This window comes from Homo sapiens, chromosome 2, assembly GCF_000001405.40.
Source record: "Homo sapiens chromosome 2, GRCh38.p14 Primary Assembly".
Classification (NCBI taxonomy): domain Eukaryota; kingdom Metazoa; phylum Chordata; class Mammalia; order Primates; family Hominidae; genus Homo; species Homo sapiens.
This window is the reverse complement of record NC_000002.12, coordinates 121133615-121154668: the sequence shown is the minus strand read 5'-3', so window position 1 is coordinate 121154668 and position 21054 is coordinate 121133615. Positions and strand designations below refer to the sequence as shown.

Here is a 21054-nt window from a genome sequence, read left to right as displayed (position 1 = left end):
GCCTGTGACTCTGGGTGTCCTCCCTCCTTGCTGTGTGTCCTCTGTCAAGCCCTGCCCTTCTCTGAGCCGCACCTTCCCCATCTGAGGGGATCTTAGTACGCTCTCCTGGGACTCTGTCTAGGGTCCTGGCCCTGGGCTGGGGACACGGGGAGAGGTCTGAGTGTTTCCTTTTTGAAACTTAAATTTCATTATTCGATTAACTTGTGCATGAGGTTTTTGTAGCTGAGAGCGAATCCTTTTAAAGGAATTTAAAGAAATTAAGTGAGATGATGCTTAAAAAGAAAGCTCTATGTGGCCATACTGAAGTCGTTTGCAGGTCGGGGCTCCTCAGTGTTCCATAACCATGAGAAGGGGGATGATTCTGCCCCTCAGATTCCCCCTGCTTCCTAGGCCACCCTGCACTGAGGCTTCACAAGGCTGAGGGTGAGCTTTCTGATGTGTTTTGTTCATTCATTCGGCAAGTGTTTGTTGAACACCTACTATGTGCCACACACCCTTCTGAGCACAGGGGCTACTGCAGAGAACAAAGCAGACAAAAGTCCTGCCCTCATGGGTGTCCCGTTCTAGGAAGGATGGCAAGGGATAAAGATGATGAATGAATGAGATATGGCTGTATGTGAGTTTAATGTGATCCAAGGGGATGAAGCAGAGGAAGGCCCAGAGAGGGTGGAGGAGAGGCGGCTGTTTAGCCAGGGCGGCCGGGGAATCAGACGGTGTCACCCGCCCAGGCCCCTCCAGAGCTGCCCACTGGCCCCAGAAGGAAGCCCAAGCTCCTCTCCCTGGAACACAGGCCTTGGTTGCCCCCACTTCACACAGCAGAGGTGCTTCTCTGTCCCCTCTCTAGGTTCACATAAGCTGTCCCTATGGTAAGAAGGCCCCACCCTCTCCTCTCCACATGGCGTTTTCAACCTGATTCTTCAAAAGTCAGCTCAAGGTCCACTCCCTCCAGGACCCCCTCACTGACCTCCTCCAATGCCACCTGTGTCAACACCGTCCCTTTGCCCTCATGCCCCTGTGCCTTTGAGTGGACAATAACCGGACAGTCCAACGACCCCAGAGCTGATCTTCACAAGGAATTGGCCCAGTCTTTCTGGTGAGGGGCCCTTGGCGATCACCTCCCTGTGAGCATTCACTATGCTCAGAGAGGGCAGCGAGTTACCCAGAGCTACAGAGCAGGGCCCTGACTCCCAGGCAGTGTGCTGCTTATCGATAGCACTGCCAGTCTCACCTGGGACCCCTGACTCCATTGCCAGGGTAGGGACAATACCTGGGCAGCTGTCCCCATAGAGATGAAGAGGAGATGGGGCTTTTTTTTAATGTTCATTTTTTGTAGAGCTGGGGTCTCACTATGCTGCCCATGCTGGACTCAAACTCCTGGGCTCAAGTGATCCTCCCAACTCAGCCTCCCTAAGTGCTGGGATCACAGGTGTAAGCCAACGCACCAGGCCAAGATGGGACTTTAGGATTGCCCCACAGCCCTGCTTCCCCCAGAAAACCTCCATGAGGACCACGCCAGAGACATCCATTCCCTCCTGTCCCATCTCCAGGACACCTCCTGAGACCACTCCAGAACTCACCACTTATGCCCAGGCCTGGGGCCGCGAGGGACACAGAGTCATCAAGACATGGCCCCAGCCTCCAGGAGTGTGTGGTCTAGTGGGAGACAAAGACCCCAAACGCACCAGCAGCACAAGGGTGGTGGGAGCACAGAGGAGGCCTAAACAGCAGGAACAGTGACGTGCACCTGGAAGGAGGGCGGCAGGTGGAGAGGTGGGGGCAGCTGCTATCCCTGAGCAGAGGCAGAGTATCCACAGCATCAGACTACGTGAGCTCTGTGACTTCAGGCAAGTGCCCTATCTCTCTCTGCCTCAGAGTTCTCATCCGTAAAATGGGAAAGATCACATCTACTTCATAGGATTGCTGTGATTACTAAATGAGTTTCTTTTGTTGTTGTTGTTTTTCCGTTTTGAGATGGAGTCTCGTTCTGTTGCCCAGGCTGGAGTGCAATGGTGAGATTTCAGCTCACTGCAAGCTCCACCTCCTGGGTTCAAGCTATTCTCATGTCTCAGCCTCCCAAGTAGCTGGGATTACAGGCGCCTGCCACCACGCCCAACTAATTTTTGTATTTTTATTAAAGACGGGATTTCACCATCTTGGCCAGGCTGGTCTCAAACTCCTGACCTGAGGTGATCCACCCACCTCGGCCTCCCAAAGTGTTGGGATTACAGGCGTGAGCCACTGCACCCGGCTACTAAATGAGTTTCTAAAGGTCACACACGTAGAGCAGCCCTGGCCTGTGCTAAGTACCCCCCAAACTTTAGCTCTCATCACAGACACTTAGTATATACATGATTGTGCATGCATTTCAGCCGCATTTCTGCTCTTGATGCCTCTCTGAGTCTCGGGGACAGCTGTCAGGGGGGCAAATTCTGTTACAAAGGTGCACGAAAAGAGCATAGAGGGCTTAGCCGCGTACTGGGCTAATAATAGGTGCTTAATAAAGGTTTAAGTAGTGAGAACTAAGGGCTGCTGTGAGGCTGAGCTGGGGACAGAGTGTTTGTGGTGTTTTCTGGTACCCCGTTAGGGTCCTGGACTGCTCTGAGGATTGGCAATGTAGTTTTAAGATGTTACTCAATCGCAAATGTGTTTAGAGCAAGGAATGAGTTTTAGAAACCTTCGCACTCCCTGGGGCTCTCAGCACACCTTGCAGGGTGTGGCCTTCAAGAAACAGACTCAGAGACTGGTCTGGCAAGGTGCTCCCCCACACACCCGGGGCTTGCTGGGTGAGGCCAGGCCTTATTGCTTTCTGGGTTGCCAGCACCTCACCAGGAGCACACAGAAGGTGCTCAATGAGCATGCGTGCATTTCTTACCAAATCATTTTGTTTGCTTCAAAGTGTATATTTCTTTAATTTCTTTCTTTCTTTCTTTCTTTTTTTTTTTTTTTTGGTACCTAGATGAGCTGAAATTTTTCTTTTTTCTTTATTTTTGTTTTTGTGATGGGGTCTCACTCTGTCACCAGGCTGGAGTGCAGTGGCACGATCTCAGTTCACTGCAACCTCCGCCCTCCCAGGCTCCATTAATTCTCGTGCCTCGGCCTCCCAAGTAGCTGCGACCACAGGCATGCTCTACTGCATCTGGCTAATTTGTTTTGTATATTTTTTAGAGATGGGATTTCACCATGTTTTCCAGGCTGGTCTGAAAATCCTGAGCTCAAGCGATCACCCGCCCTGGCCTCCCAAAGTGCTGGGATTATAGGCGTGAGCCACTGCACCCGGCTGAGCTGAAAATTGTTAATGCTCCTTTACTTCATTTTTTTTCCAGAACATCAAAGTACTATGTTTGGTTTGATAATTAGAAAAATACAGAGAAGTGTGAAAGAGTCACATATACCAAAATGTTATTTTCTAACCTAATTCCTGCTTTCATGTTAATGTACGATATATATTTTATGTGCATGTCATATGTATATGTGTGTATATATATATGTGCGTGTGTATATATAATGTGTGTACACATTAAGAATTACAACTAATGCCTGGTGTTGATTGAGTCCGTCCTCTGCCAGGTACTGTGCTTAGTTGCCCCTGGCATTACCCCCTCTGACTTAGGCAAACTAGCTCTGGGGACAGCCCTTACCCCCGTCATATCCTGCCTCTCTAACAAAGTAAGGCATTAGGTGTGGGGGCCACAGGAACATGCATTCTGGAGACGTGAGAAGGGTGAGGTCACCTGAGCTAGAACAATCAAGGAAGGCTTCCTGGAGGAGTTGGGACTGAGCCTGACGTGGAAGGATGGGACAAATTGGAAAGTAGCCCCAGCCGTGGTACAGTGTGACAGGGGCCTGAAGGTGCAGATCCACACTTGGATACTTCTGAGCTCTGGTATCACATTCCCTGATGAGGGAGGGTGGTGCAGAGGGGTTCTGGGTGGTTAAAGCCCAGAGGCTGAATCAGGTGAACCTGTGCTGAAATCCTGGCCACTGAGAACTGGCTGCGGGAAGATGTGCAGGTCGCTTTTCCTTCCAGAGTATGTAGGGTCCTCTTCTGTACAGTGGGCAAGCCATGGCTCCTGCTTCACAGGGATGGCATGAGGGCTCAAAGGCAGCATGTGTGCCCTGACTCGAGCACAGTCCAGTCCAGCACAGGGTCAGTGCGCCATGAAAGCACACAGGGAAAGGTTGGTGGGACATAGATGGAGCTGCTTACAGAGGTACCAGGCTGGGAGGTGAGGCAGCCGTGGCTGTAACAGTGGTTACTGCAGCTTTCTCTCCAAGGCTTGTGAACACCTACTTCCCTGAAGATCACTGGAAATCCAGCATCACTTCAGGAGGTCTAGGGTGGCCGACGGTCTACCACCCTCTCTTCCCACTGCCAGAGCTGCCGAGCTGCAAGGATGTGGCTGACAGTGCTCTCTGCTCTCTTCCCCTGCACAGAAGCTCGGGGGCCTCTGCAGTCCCCCCGGGTGACAGGGGGCAGCAGCCCTGCTCTCCTGTCTGTCCTTTTTATAGCTGATCTCCTTCCCTGCTGGCTTTTCTCCCAGCTCTCCTTGCCACCTTGGAAGAGGGCACAGAGAGCCAGCCCCAAGGGGTGGGCCAGGGTCATCCTGATTCCTAGCCCCTCCCTCTGTGTCTTTACCTGCACTTTACTTCCTGAGCATGGGAAGAGAGTTGAGTGGGGAGTCCACGGCACAGCAACAGCTGACCACTTGCAGGGTGCCCTGTCCTCCCCACACCTCTTGCTCATCTTCTGGGAGTCCCAGCTGCACCTACAACCCTCATGGCTGCATGGCCCTTGGCCTCTGTGGGGAAGTGCCAGTCACTGTTCACCTTTATCATTGCTCTGAAATTCACCCACATTCGCTTTGGCTCTTCTGACTGGAACTGAGCAACTATTGCCAAAAAATCACCCTTGGCTGTTAACATAGAAGCACAGTCATCAGTTACATGCATATTTCAGAGGTATTGGGCCCACATATTTTATTTCACTTGATTCCCTCCCCATCCCCACTGTCTACCAGTCCAGCTTCATTGACTGAGGACATCTGCATGTTGCTGTCCTGTGAATTCAGCTGGGATCTCCTCCCGGAGTGACCGGCCTCAGCGGTGTGGCCAGCCCCAGGGGAGGCCCTGGGAAGTCAGGGTTTCTTGTAAGGTTTCTGTCCTCTGGGAGCTCCCATCCAATCAACGATACAAGATTTCTCTCTTGAAAGACCTTTCCCATCACCCTTTAAAAACTTTTCATTATGAAATAATCATAGATTTGTAGGAAGCTGCAAAAATAGTACAGAGACATCTTGTACTTTTCACCCAGTTTTCTCTAATGGCAACATCTTACATGGGTTTAGAATGATATCAAAAGGAGAATATCCGCATTGGCACAATTCACTGACCTATTCAGATTTCACTATTTTTGTGTACTCTTGTGTCTATGAGTATGTGTGTGTATGCAATTTCATCACAAGTGTAGATTTGCATAACCACCACCAAGATCAGTACTATCCCATCACCTCTCCATCATTCACTCATCTGCCTCCCTCTCCCTGTGTCCCTGACCCCTGGCAGCCACAAATCTGCTCTCCTTCACTATAACTTTGCCATTTTGGAAATCTTATATGAATGGAATCATACAGTTTGTAACCTTTAGAGACTGTCTTTTCTTACTTAGCATGGCGAACTTGAGATCTGTGTTAGGGTCCTCCAGAGGCACAGAAACAACAGGTGTGTGTGTGTGTGTGTTTGTATAGGCATATATATGTATGTATGTATACAAACATGTTTGTATATGTACACGTATGAGAGAGAGAATCATTTTAAAGAATTGGCTCACACAATTGCAGGAATAGGCAAGTCTAATATCTGCAAGGCAGGCTGCAGGCTTCAGACCCAGGGAAGAGTTGATTTGCAACGAGTCCAAAGGCTGCCTGGAAACAGAATTCCTTCTTCCTTGGGGGACTTCAGTCTTTTTCTCTGAAAGCCATCAACTGATTGGATGAGGCCCACCTACCCAGCAGATTAAGGAAGGTGATCTACTTTCTTCATTTTTTATTATTTATTTATTTATTTTTGAGACAGAGTTTTGCTCTTGTTGCCCAGGCTACAGTGCAATGGGAGTGATCTTGGCTCACTGCAACCACTGCCTCCCGGGTTCAAGTGATTCTTCTGCCTCAGCCTCCTGAGAAGCTGGGATTACAGGCGAGTGCCACCACGCACGCCCGGCTAATTTTTTGTATTTTCAGTAGAAACCATGTTTCAGTATGTTGGCCAGGCTGGTCTTGAACCCCTGATCAGGTGATCCACCCGCCTCAGCCTCCCAAAGTGCCGGGATTACAGGTGTGAGCCACCATGCCTGGCTGATCTGCTATTCAAATCTACTGATTTAAATGTTAATCTCATGTAAAAATATCTGCACAGTGACATCTAGACTGGTGTTTGACCACATATCTGGGTATTGTAGACTAAGCAGGTTGACATATAAAATTAACCATCACAAGATCCATCCCACGTATTGTGTGTATCCATACCTCATTCCTTTTTGGAGTTAAGTGGTATTCCAAGGAATGTATGTAACTAGTTTGTTTAACCATTCACCCATTGAAGGACATTTGGGTTGTTTCCGGTTTGGGGCTATTACAAATGAAGCTGCTATGAACAATTGTGTGCAGGTGTTTTTATGAACATTTTTTTCACTTCCCTGGGATAAATGCTCAGGAGTGTGATTGCTGGGCTGTGTGGTCAGTATATATTTAACTATTTGAAAAACTGCCAAGCTGATTTCCAGACTGCCTGTACCATTTTACATTCCCACCAACAATGTATGAGACAGCCAGTGTTTCTACCTGCTTGCCAGAATTGTTTTTTAGTCATTCCAATAGGTGTATCATGGTATTTTATTGTGGCATTCATTTGCATTTCCCTAATGGTTAGTGATACTGAACATCTTTTCATATGTTTTCTTGCCATTTGTGTGTATTTGGTGAAGCATCTTTTCGTGTCTTTTGCCCATTTTCCAATTGGATTATTTGGTTTCTTTTTTCTTTTTCTTTCTTTTTTTTTTTTTTGAGATGTAGTCTTGCTCTGTTGCCCAGGCTGGAGTGCAGTGGCATGATCTCAGCTCGCTGCAACCTCGCTTCCCAGGTTCAAGCAATTCTCCTGCCTCAACCTCCCAAGTAGCTGGGACTACAGTCACGTGCCACCACGCCCCGCTAATTTTTTGTATTTTTAGTAGAGACAGGGTTTCAGCATATTAGCCAGAATGGTCTCGATATCCTGACCTCATGATCTGCCCACCTCGGCCTCCCAAGGTGCTGGGGTCACAGGTGTGAGCCACCGCGCCTGGCCCAGTTTCTTTGGTTTCTTACAGCTGAGTCTAGAGAGTCCTTTATGTATTCTGGATACAAGTTGGGTATGTGATTCATTATATTCCTTAAAATGTGCTCCAGGGGTTTGTTCTGGCAGAAAAGGGGCTAATAGTAGTGGTAGCATTGCCAGCAGAACAAGGGTTTTTACTTTAAAAACATAAGGTCCAATTTGTCAATTTTTTTCTTTTATGGATCATGCTTTTTGTATATCTAGGAGGTCCTTGGCCAGCCTGAAGTCTCAAAGATTTCCTCCTATTTTCTTTTAGAAGTTTTACAGTTTTACACTTCAGTTCAGTGTCCCTTTTTGATTATTGTCTAGGGTGTGAGATTTGGGTCAAGTTTCATACTTTCCATGTCCAGTTGCTGTAGTGCCATTTGTTGGAAAGATTATCGCTGTTGGACTTTTACAACTTTGTCAAAACAGTTGGCTGTGCTTGTGTGGGTCTATTTCTAGATTCTCTGCCCTGCGCCACTGGTCTTTGTATCTGTCCCTCTGCCAATAGCACACTACCTTGATTAGCACTGCTATGTAGTAAGCCTTAAAATTAGGTAGAGGGATTTCTTCCACTTTATCCTTTTCTTTTTCCCAAATATGGTTTTAGGCCAGGCATGGCGGCTCATGTCTATAATCCCAGCACTTTGAGAGGCCGAAGCAGGAGGATCGCTTGAGCCCAGGAGTTCAAGACCAGCCTGGGCAACATAGGAATATCCTGTATCTACAAATGACTTAAAAATTAATGGGGCATGGTGGTTCCAACTACTTGGGAGACTGAGGCAGGAGGATCATCTGAGCCTGGGAAGTTGAGGATGCACTGAGCTGAGACTGCACCACTGCACTCCAGCCTGGGTGACAGAGTGAGACCCTGTGTCAAAAACAAATAAACAAACAAACAAAACAGTTTTGGTCATTCTAATTCTTTTATCTTTCCATATAAATTTTAGAAGAAGCTTGTCTATAGTTACAAAAAAATCTTGGGAGGAATATTGAATTTGCTTTAAAACTATAAATAATTTGGGGAAACTGACATTCTTACTTCTACATGCCAACATCCTTGCCAAAAGTTTCTTGGGATGATTTGCAGCTGTCTTTTTTTCTACTGAAAAGGCCTGTGACCATCAGGCCAAGACATGTAGATAACGTTTACTTGCATCAGCTCTCTCCAAAATTAGAGTTAAAACATAAAGTGGCATTTTACAAAAAGAAGAAAAGGTTTTACTAAAGTAAAAAAAACACATAATTATGTATTTGTCTGATTACGAAATATAACATATTCTAATGTGCAGAAGCATTGTATTTCTTTTAAATGCATTTTATTTAAAAAATTAAAAAAAGATCGATTTGACTCTAGATAGCCAAAACAAAAGTGAAAAAAGAAGAACAAAGTTGAAGGTCTCATACTTCTTGATAATTTGCTACAAAGCTACAGTAATCAAAACAGTATGGTACTGGCATAAAGACAGACATATACTCAAATGCGATCCAATACAGGGCCCAGAAATAAACCCTCACATGGTCAAATGATTTCCAACAATGATGCCAAGACTACTCAATGGGGAAAAAACAGTTTTCCACAAATGGTGTTGAGAAAACAGGATATCCACATGAAAAAAAAATTGTAGGTGAAGCCTTGCCTTATACCACATACAATATTTAATTGAAAATAGACCAAAGACCTAAACTTAAGAGTTGAAACTATAAAACTCTTAGAAGAAAACATAGGGTAAAACTTCATGACATTAGATTTGCCAATGATTTCTTGGATATGACACCAAAAGCACAGGTAAGAAAGGAAAAATAGATTAATTAGACTTCGTCAACATTAAAATGCTTTGTACATTGAAGGACACAATCAGCAGAGTGAAAAGGCAACCCACAGAATGGGAGAAAATATTTGCAAATCATATATCTGATAAACGATTAATATCCAGAATATATTTTTAAAATTCTACAACTCAACAACAAAAAAACAAACAACTTAATTAAAAACTGGGCAAAAGCTGGGCACGGTGGCTCACGCCTGTAATCCCAGCACTTTGGGAGGCTGAGGCAGATGGATCACCTGAGGTCAGGAGTTCAAGACGAGCCTGGTCAACATAGTGAAACCCTGTCTCCACTAAAAATACAAAAATTAGCCCGGCGTCATGGCAGGCACCCATAATTCCAGCTACTTGGGAGGCTGAGGCAAGAGAATCACTTGAACCCAGGAGGCAGAGGTTGCAGTGAGCCGAGATCACACCACTGCCCTCCAGCCTGGGCAACAGAGTGAGACTCTGTCTCAAAAAACAAAACAAAACAAAACAAAAAAACTGGGCAAAGGACTTGAATACACATTTCTCCAAGAAGATATACAGATGGCCAGTAAGCACATGAAAAGATGCTCGACATCACTAGTCATTAGGGAAATGCAAACCCAAACCACGATGAGAGACTGTTTCTCACTCATTAGAATAGCTATAATTAAAATAAATTTTAAAAAAGGAAAATAGAAGGTGTTGGCAAGGATTTGGAGAAACTGGAACCTTTGAGCATTCTGGTGGGAATGTAAAATGGTGCAGCTGCTATGGAAAACAGTATGGTGGTTCCTAAAAATTAAACATAGAATTACCATCTGATCTAGCAACTCCATGTCTAGGTATATACACACAAATGGTTGAAAGTGGAGACTCGGACAGATCTATGGTGTGATGGTTTATTCTGTGTCAACTTGGGGGCTGTTTGGGATGAGATCAGCACTGAAATCAGTGTGCCTTGTGTAAGGAGGTTGCCCTCAACATGTGTGGCACTCATCCAGTCAGTTGAAGGCCTGGGTAGAGGAAGAGCAACCTCCCTGAGCAAGAGCATTTTCTCTAGCAGATGCCTTTTGAGCTGTAGCTGCACGGTCAGCTCTTCTGCCTCTCAGGCCTGCCCCAGTGCACTTGCTGGAGTCAGGGATGGATTCCAGTAATTGACTGTGGATACACGACCCTGCATTCTCAGTGAACTTAGCTTTTTGTTCTGTTGAATCATTGCCTCAGGCGAAATTCTCAGGAGCTATACTCTTTGGTCAAAGGAAAGAGAAAAGGAACAAATCCTGTTGGTTTGAACTACCCTTAGAATAAACCCAGACTCTATCGCTTCTTACCGCCTCCCCAACTCCTTCCGTAGTCTAAGCCGTGGCCTCCTCCTGTGTGTACAGTTGTGGACACCCTTTCCTGGGCTCCTGTTTCCCACTTTGTCCCTATATTGCAGTGGTTCTTAACTGGGATGATTCTGTGCTGAGGGCCACTGGGCAATGTCTGGAGACAGTTTTGGTTGTCACAGCTGGGTGGAGGGCGCTACTGACACCCATTGGGTAGAGCCCAGAGATGCTGCTAAACATCCTGCAATGCGCAGGACAGCCCCCCAGCAAAGGCATCAACAGCACCGAGGTTCAGCGGCCTGGGCCCCGTATCTCATTGCCACACAGTGGCAAGAGTGTTGTTTTTCTCTGCTCGAAACTCTCTTGTGACTTCCAAGATTACTTGGCTTAAAATGCAAAACCTTTCTGTGATCTACAAGGTCCACTATGACCTGTGACCTCACCCCCACCGCTCTTCCGTCACCCTCTCTGCTCCAGCCTCACTGTACCCTGTTGATCCTCACACACACCCAGCACGCCCCAGCCTCGGTGTCTCCTGTTCTGTTAGTCTGGAATGGAGATATTCCATTCCAGATATTCACACAGCAAGATTCTTGGCTTCATTCAGGGTACATCCCAAATGTTATATTGGGCCTCCTCTTCGGCCTCATCTCTTGACAGTTGGGCCCAAATGTCATCATGGTCCACCTTCTCTGACCACCTCATCTGAAACACCACCTTCCCCACCACTCTCCCTCCCCTTGCCCTCATCATTCATCTCCACCTGAGCTTTATTTAACTGATTTTCATCAACTCACTCTTCCCATTAAAATATGAACTCCCCGATGTTTTGCTCATGAATGTGTTGACACCCCCAGATGAGTGTCTGGCACACAGTAGACTGTCCATAAATACCTGTTAGATAAATGAGTGTTTGTTGAGCACCTACGCTGTGCCAGGGTGTGCTGGGCCCTCCCGATGTGCCGTCGCATGTATTCCTCAGAGCCATGGTGTTTACCCCCATCCAGAGAAGGAAGCAAATGCCAATCAGCACAACCAGGCTCAGATGCCACCAGGCCTGACAGGGCCCAAACCTGTGCCACACCATCGCCCCAAATGTATCTATGGCTCGATAATCTGTCATCTGCTCTTTAAAGCGTTTTATTACATTTATAGCAACTCCCAACAGCTTTTCCAGGTGACATTGCTGTGTCACCGTTGTATTTGTTTTCAGACCTGGAGCCCATTGTGTTTCCATTTCTTTGTTGTGCTATCTGGGCCTGGCATCTGGGGCCCTCCTGCTCAGGTGGAGAAATGCGGAGCTAGCTCTGTCTGTGCAGGGCCACTGTTGATAGTAAATACAGTGTTTAAAGGAGCTGCCCGCACCAGGCTTAAGAATGCTGCTTTTAGGACTCAAAACAAGCCTCCTCTTGAGTGGATGAGAGAGCCTCTTGAGAGAGCTGGTGGACAAGGGGACAGATGGGCCATCCCCTCCCACCAACTGCAGGGTACAGCTGTGACGGGGGTCCCAGGTCCCAATTCCAGGGCTCTGGTGGGGTTGTCTGGGCAGCAGAAGCTCAGTCCATCTCCTTGACCAGGTCTGATGTGGCAGGTCAGACCCATCCTGGGTGCAGGCAGGGACTGCTCTGCTGACCTGTGGATCTTCTCTTGGCCTAGGCACAGAGCCTGATGACTATGGCTGCTGACACTGAGACTCACTGCAGAGCAGGGCAGGGCAGCAAGCTCTGCCCTGGAGCCAGAGACCTGGGCTCCAGTCTCACCCATGGCCAGCTGAGCTTCCTTTCCTTAGCTACTGAATCCAAAGCTACAGCAGTGGACTCATAGAACCCTTGGTATTTGAATGGGACATGTGTGAAGTTATTATTTTTAACTGAGATATAACTTATATTCAGTAAAATTCACTCTTTCGGGTGCAGTGCTATGAGTTTTATATAACCACCACCACCACAATCAAGATATAGAATATTTCCATCTCCCCTAAAAGTTCCCTCATGCCCCTCAGTAGTCAAACCCTCCCCCTACCCTTAGCCCCTACCAACCCTTCTGATTTCTGGCCCTATAATTTTGCCTTTCGCAGAATGCCATGTCAATGGAGCCGTCCAGCATGTGGCCTTTTGCCCCTGGCTTCTTTCTCTAGCATCATGCTCTTAAGATCCATCCATGTTTCTGTGTTCTTGTGTATTGCTGAGTAGTATTTCCTTGAGTGGTTGCACCAGGTTGTCCTTCACCTCTTGAGGGGCATTTAGGTCATTTCCAGCCTTTGGTGACTATGAATACAGCTGCTATTCAACATTTGTGTGTACCAAATAGGTTTTTGGGTGGACATCGTTTCATTTCTCTAGGCTCAGTGCCCAGAAAGATGACTACTGGTCATAGAGTTAAGTGCATGTTTAACTTTTCGAGAAAGCACCAAACTGTTTTCCATGGTATCTGTACCTTTTTGCATTCCCACCATAATTACTGGAGAATTCCGGTTTCTCTTTATCTTTGCCAGCAGTTGGAAGGGTCAGGTTTATTTGATTTTAGCCACTGTTTTGGACAGTTTGTTTGGACATTGTTTAGATAGCTGTTTTTTAACTGTAAATCAGCAGGACCCAGTTGTGGCAGGCAGTATTGAAACGTGGGTAGGAGACGGGGCTCTGGAGTCAAACCATTTGGGTTAAAATCCTTTTGTACTTACTCACTCTTTAATTTTCATATTTCTTGTAGGAAAAAAGTGGAGTTGGTAATGAGGTAATAAAGGTATTAATGAGGTAATAAAGGAATTAAATGTTAAAATGTATAACACATGCTTGGCTTTGCCCAGGGCTAAGCCACTATTACTACTCTTAAGAATATATTGCACACCTGATCTCTAGTCCCTCCAGCAAGCATCTGCTAGGTATTTCCATGTCCCTCTATAGATGAGGACACTGAAGGTCATAGAGGTCAAATAACGGGCTAGGGGTCATACAGCTAATTAATACGTGGTGGAGATAAGATTTGAATCCTGTGTAATTCCTGCTTCCTCATTCCTTTACCACATGCCTCACTCTGTCAGTTAGGAAAACTTTTGGCTCCAGGTTACACGAAACCCATCCTGCAGAAGTTGAATCCACTAGGACACTTATTGATTACACACTTAAGGAATGGAGCGGGAAGTCTCAGGTCACTCACAAAGACTCTTCTTGTCTCTATGTGCCACCAGCCTTCACCTGCTGGCATTTCCTGCTTATGCTTGACACCTCATCACAGATTAACTGACCACAAAAATGACCTCAGGCCTCCACCCCTCCTTCATTCAGCCCTTTGTAATATGACCTAGTGGCTCTTCCCATTGAGAGGTGGAGTCTATTATTCTATCTCTGGGATCCTGGTTGGTCTTACGATTTGCTTTGGCCAATAGAATGTGGTGACATTGATGGGGAGTTCTGGAACTCAGGCTTTGAGAGTCTTTGTGTGCTTCCACTCTTATTTTTGGAACCTAGGCCATGGGACAAAATCTGGGCTGGCCTGCTGAATGATGACAGAGGAGTGGCCAAGTCACTCATTGTTGTCCCATTTGTCAGCCAGCCAGCCACCAGACATGTGAGTGCACCCATTCTAAGTCAGCCAGCTTCTGGTCAACTTGCCAGCTGACCACAGATGCATAAGTGAGCCCAATCAAGATCAGCTGAGCCTACCATGTCAGCAGAACCCACAATTCACACATAGACATGTGACCAATAATAAATGGTTATTGTTACAAGCTAACAAATTTTGAGGTTGTTTGTTACACAGCAGTAGCTAACTGATACCTATCTAATGGTTGCAATGGGGTTGCTTCAGCTCCAGGAAAAAGTGGAAAGAGGATGCAAGTCTTCTTCTTATACCTGTCCCTTTTGCAAGGAAGCAAAGCTTTGTGATCTCAAGCAAGTAATGTATCTTCTAAGAACAATATGATCTTCATCTGTAAAATAGAGGAAATATTACCTGTCTTGTGGGTGTTTGGTGCAAACCAATAACATGTCATGTAAAAATAACTACACTGTGTTCTATGAATGTAAGTTATGCTTACTATCCCAGAAAAGCTGCTCAGATAATCTGGACATTTGTTTGTGTTTCTGACCCACAAAAGTGCACAGTACCTTGGGTGAATACAGCTACTGTATTAGTCAGTTCTCACCACAGCAATGCTGTGTAACAAACCACTTCAAAACTCAGTGGCTTATAGCAACAAGTACTTATTCTCATGGCTACAATTCTGCAGTTGACTGAGGTTCGGCTGACTTAGGCTGAGGTTGGCTGCGTGGCTCTGCTCCAGGCTGCGGGCTGCCTGGGCTTGGCTCTAAGCTGAGGGTGGAGTTTAGGTCTTCTGTATTGGTCTCCCATAATTCCTGGGCCAGCACATCATGGAAATGGCAGAAGTACAAGAGAACAAACCCAATTTCACAAACACATTTCAAGCTTCTGCTTGCATCACATATGCTAACGTGCCACTGGCCAAAGCACCTGGCCAAGCCCAACATTAATAGGGTGGGGAAAGATATCCTTTCTGTGGAGGGAATGAGCACAAGTCACGCGGCAAAGAGGATGGGTATAGGGAGGTGTGGAAAATTGGGAACAATGATACAATGCATTAGAGCTACACTGGGATATTAACCATTGTAACTGCCATTTTCCAAGATGGCAGAGGTATGATGGATATCAGACACAGCTCATAAATGAGTGCATGTGGAAAGCTTTTTAAAAGAAAAACATTGGGGCTGTTTTATCTAAAAAGCAAGATATAACTGCCCTACCCAAACAGAAATCTCATGTAGAAATAGGAAGATCTGACTTCAGATCTCTGGCCAGATAGGGAGTTGGTGAATTTCTCCAGGGTAAGACTGTGTATTATTCTTTTACGGTGTCTTCCCAATGCCTAGCACAATTCCTGGCATAGAGACAGAGTTAAATAAATGTTCATGCATTCGTTCGTGAGCATGACTGAGTCAGTTTTTTTCACCAAAGTTTCAATAAAACTGCTATGAGTTAATGCGGAGCAGGTTTCTTAACTACTGCACTACTGACATCTTGGACCAGGTAATTCTTTGTTGTGGGGCATTAAGGATGTTTGGCGGTGTTGCTAGGCTCTACCCACTAGAGGCCAGTGGCATCCCTCTCCAGGGGCAACAACCAAAAATGTCTCCAGATGTTGCCAAATCACCCCCAACTAAGAACTACTGATGTAAAGTGAAGAGCCTATGGGGCACATCCTACCACAGTTCTTAGAAGCGTGTCTGAAGTGCAGAAATTTAATTGAAGAGAAGAGAAACCACACATTGTATCGAAACAGCTTAACTCTCTCTCTCTGTCTCTCTCTCTCTCTGTCTCTCTCTGTCTCTCTCTCTGTATATACACATATGTGTGTATATATGTGTATATATGTAGATACACATATGTGTATATATATGTGTGTGTGTGTGTATATATATATATATACACACACACACATATATATATATACAGCTAAGTATAACTTGGAAGTTTGGGGATATTCTGTGCCTAGTTTTACAACCAAAGACCAGTAGGGGGAAATTCGGTGATCTGCAGACATCATCGTGGTGGTCATCAATTATTCCAGTGAAGGCACAGGATTTTCCATGGGTTGGCAAAATTCCACTTTGGTCATTTAACAAATATTTTTTGAGGGTCTGCTATGGGCCAGGCAATGTTCTACGAACTAGGGAGATGGTGGACAGCAAAACAATGTCCCCGCCTCACAGAGCCCTCATTCTAGTGGGAGAGAAAATGGTAAACATATAAATACTCCAATATATAATAGAATGGTGTAACTAAAATTATAATGAAATCTTATAAATTAAAATTATATAACTAAAAAAATGTTATTTATAGGTGCTAAGAAGAAAATAAACAGAGAACGTCTTGCAGTGGGCAGCCATTTCAGGAGGTAAATGCCGGGGGGTGGTGTTTGAACAGTGACGGAAGGACATGAAGAAGCGAGCGTGTGAAGGTGTGGAAGAAGTACAATCCATGCAGAAGAACCAGCAAGCCTTCTTTCCATCTGGCAGTATTATGCAAGATTCGGAACGAATCTCCTCCTCCTCTCTTGCCTCTTCTCTTTTCTTTTAAAAAACCAATTGAGATTATTAAAACCAAGAGGCCCCTATCAAAGTTCTTTTACCCAAAAACTTTTGTCAAGTAGAACTCATATCTGGCTAAGTCACCTCCCACCTCCAGTCTCTTCATCAGTCTCTTCATCTGTCCAATGTGAGGGTTGATCCAGATGCTCAGAGGGTTTTACGGGCAGAGGGGTAACGGGATTTGTGTTGCTCAACCTGGGTTTGAATCCTGGCTCTGCCATTTCCTACCAAAGCAGTTGTGACAGTGTTTTCACCTCTCCGAGCCTCGGTATCCTCAAAGCAGCCCTTTTGTGGTTGGATGAAATGCCCTGAGTCGAGCCTGGTATCTGAAGCCCACATCTGTTTCCCTACACAACTCAGACCCCCGGGCCTGAAAGATGGTGACTGCAATGAAAGAGGTTTGTTAACGGCTAAGAAGTCCAGGATGCAAGATTTTGCCATTGTGATGACTGTAGCCTTTCTTGGCTATTCAGAAGGATCCTCAATCTTTTGCAAGTCCTCAGGTTTAAAGGACTTAAATGTGGGAGTCAGGAGATTCTGAGTGTCAGGAGATAGAGGAACATTCAGGAGTCCAGTGTGTGAAGGAAGGTCCTTGACATTTGTGAAAAACCAAACACCATTTATGTGACAATCAGAACACTTTCATGAAAGGGAGTGTGTTCTGACCATGTGGGTTTCCCACGTGTGTAAGTTGTGGGAAAACAGGCATTTTCTGAGTGAAAATCAGGACCAACCGAGACTGCCAACCTTAGATGTTCATAGTAACCAGGCTCCTGCCAGAGGAGAAATTGACGCAAAGAACAGTGCCAGCTGCTCCACACACATTAATTCCTCAGCCTCCCCAGTTATCCTATGTGCAGCCAGATGCCACACCTGGATGAGGGAGAATGCCAGAGGCTTGGGAGGGCAGAGGGGAATAGCACAGGGGCTTGCATTCCGCAGGTGCTGGGGTCACTGTGCTGGCCCTGGATGGCTCACCTCTGGACTTGTTAATAAGTGAGAAAAAAAATAAAATCCATTCAGCTAAGCCACTTAATTGGGTCTCTGCTTCACGCAGCTGAATGCAGTGCTAACAGATTCCTGTGCAGGGACCTGTGCCCTGTTATTTTACTCTGTCCTCACGGCTCTCCTCAAGGGTCACATTCTGAGCCCCATTTGACGGATGAGGAAACTGAAGCAAGGTCCCCTCCTTGCTGTCCTATAGGTAGTAAGTGGAAGAGGCGGCATTTGAACTCAGAGCTGTCTTATTCCAAATGCTGCACTCTCCCCCTACCTCCCCCACCCTCTGCCACACACCAATTCTCACTGTCTTACTCTGTTTGGACTGCTAGAACTAAGGACCATAGAATGGGTGTCTTAAAAACAACAATTTATTTCTCACTGTTCTGGAGGCTGGGAAGTCCAAGGTCAAAGTGCTGTGAATTTAGTATCTGGCGAGGGCCCACTTCCTTGTTCACAGATGGTGCCTTCTTGCTGTGGCCCACAAGGTGGAAAGGCAGAGGGAGCCCTGGAGGTAGGAGGCAGAACTCTACTCTGGAGGTGTGGCTTAGATGCTGGACCAAATTGAGGACTAGCTAAAACAGGTCTGGGGCAGGAGCACCTGCCCCCATGACAAGTCACACCCACCCGTGGGCCATGTCAGTTTGCCATTGCCATGGCAACACCCAGAAGTAACCGCCCCTTTCCATGGCAACCACCCACCAGCAATCTGGAAGTTACTACCCTCATTCTAGGAATTGCCCCTGCATAAACTGCCAGTTAATTTGCATATAATTAAAAGTGAGTATAAATGTGAGTGAGTGCAGAACTGCCTCTGAGCTGCTGCTCTGGGCACACTGCCTCTGGGGTAGCCCTGGGCACACTGCCTCTGGGGTAGCCCTGCTCCACAAGGAGCAGCACCTCTGCTGCTGCCGTGCACTGCCGCTTCAATACAAGTTGCTAACACCACCTGCTTCTCCTTGAATTTTTCCTAGGCAAAGCCAAGAACCCTCCCAGGCTAAGTCCCAGTTTGGGGGCTTGCCTGTCTTGCATCACTCTGGTACCTTTTTATTCTGTTTTCTTTTTCATTTTAAAATACAAATTAATAGCTTCTTTCTTACCTGATGGTATCTCTTTTATAAGGACACTTGTCCCATCATGAAGGCTCCACTTTTATGAACTAATTACCTTCCAAAGGCCCCCACCCTCCTAACACCATCACCTTGGGGGTTGGGATTTCCACATACAAATTTGGAGAAGACACAAACAGACCATAGCACTAACAATTAACAGCATTCCTAGGCACAGCAGTTCTTGTGAGGCTGAATCCTGGCTGGCCACTTGCTAGTTGTGGGATCTGGGGAAGTTACTCAGAGCCTCTGAGCCTCAGTTTCCTTCTCTGAAACTGGAGACCATAGCAGTACCTGTCTCAAAGGGAGATGTTGAAGATTGCCACTGTCTGGCACTGAGCCAATACTCCCTGCATAAGAAACTTTGACTTATCTGGCCTCATGACAGTCCCTGGACTGAGTGCATTTTCAAGTGCTTGAAGATCCTCCCTGACTCTTGCATTAGCCCCTTGGAGGAGATATCATTGCTTCTTTTTGCAAGCAAGGAAACTGAGGCTCAGAGAGGGTGAGCACTCAGCTCAGGATCATCCTGCTGGTGTAAAAAGAGGAGCACCTCCAGTGGGGAAGGCCCAGGCTCTCAGGAGAGGGGCTGCCCCTCTAAGCCTCAGTCTCTCCATCTGTAAAATGGGGGTGAGACTAGTACCTGCGTCATATGGTTATTGGATTATATGAGACATGGTATGGTCAAGACTCAGCCTTGGCCATAGCTGATAGTAAGCACCCAATCTATGTAGCTCATGCTATTATTTGTTATTATCAGAAAGCTCCAGACTGACCACACCAGTCTCTTGCTTCCTCGCAACTGGGGATTCTGAGGGTGGATGTGTGTCCCCATTGCAGGCTGAGGTGGCCCTGTGGCCTGCCATCCGCCTCTGTGTTGGCTTTGCCGAGACCAAGACCACAGTGGTGAAGGCTCAAGCCCCTCACGCCTCTCCTCCACCCCATGGGAAGCAGCCATCGTGGGCCTTCCTCACAGCCCCTTAGTTCTGGGAGGCTGAAGATCATCTGCTCCCATGAAGCTCCTCCTCACAGATGCTCTGGACAGATAAAGAACCGGCTCTGACCCGGCCCACTGCCCGGGTTATCCTGACTTACAGAGAAATTCCACCTTGCAGCCTGACCTTGTTCATTCCCTGCTGGACCCGCCTGAGGTAGGGCCCCTGGCCTTCAGGTCACCTTTGTGTGGGGCAGTGGGGGTGGGCAAGGCACATACACACTCAGACACCACACACACCACACATACTTTCACACACACCCCACACACACACCACACACACATCACACATACTTTCACACACACACACCACACACACATCACATATACTTTCACACACACACCACACACACAGACACCACACATACTTTCACACACACCACACACACCACACACACATCACACATACTTTCACACACACACACCACACACACAGACACCACACATACTTTCACACACACCCCCCACACACACCAGACATACTTTCACAAACACCCCCCACACACCACACACACATCACACATACTTTCACACACACACCCCACACACATCACATATACTTTCACATACACACCACACATACTCACAGACACCACACACACAACCACACACACACACCACACACATACTTACACCACACACCACACACACAATCACACACACACAGACACCACACACACCACACAGTCTTTCACACACACACACCACACACCACACACTCTCTCACACACACACCACACACAGACACCACACACACTCCCAGATATCCCACCCGCACGCCCATGCACACTCACACACCACACACTTACACTCTCAAACACACACATACACCACACTCACAGCCCTATCTCTCATGCACACACTCTCACACTATCACCACACACACACTCACACCACACTCACAGCTCTCTGTCTCACACACACACTCACAGCTCACACACACACACTCTCTCTCTCTGCTGTGAAGGGTCCAGGGGGCAAGTCTGCCTTATATTCTCTCTGTGTCTGCCTAGCACTTAGCACAGTGCTTAGCACACAGTAGGGCCTTTATGGCACGTGCTGTGGCTGACCAGGTGGGTGGATGGACAGATGCGCCTGAGAACAGTAAGTGCGCACTCATCCACCCATGGGCTCAGCCTCTGTTCATTGTGCACCTACTATGTGCAGGCTCTGCTCCAGCCTCCGCCATGCAGTGGAGAGCCAGACCATGGGCGCCTGCTCTCAAAGGTCCAACAGGCTAGCCACGGATAGACGAGCAGATGAGTCCATCCAGCTGGAGCCAGGGGCTCTGGCGCCCCCACCCCCATTCCTCAGGGCAGAGCCATGATGAGTGACCGTGGCAGATGGCTGCATCTCCTTTTCTGGTCCCAC

General features: G+C 46.9%; 1 long non-coding RNA gene across 1 annotated transcript; it reads left to right on the top strand.

The window, feature by feature from the left end:
* Positions 1 to 13959: 13959 nt before the first annotated feature.
* Positions 13960 to 16607, top strand: LOC105373588 (uncharacterized). The gene is made up of 2 exons (XR_923269.1): positions 13960 to 14044; positions 16334 to 16607. It is a non-coding gene; the product is annotated as an uncharacterized LOC105373588 (long non-coding RNA).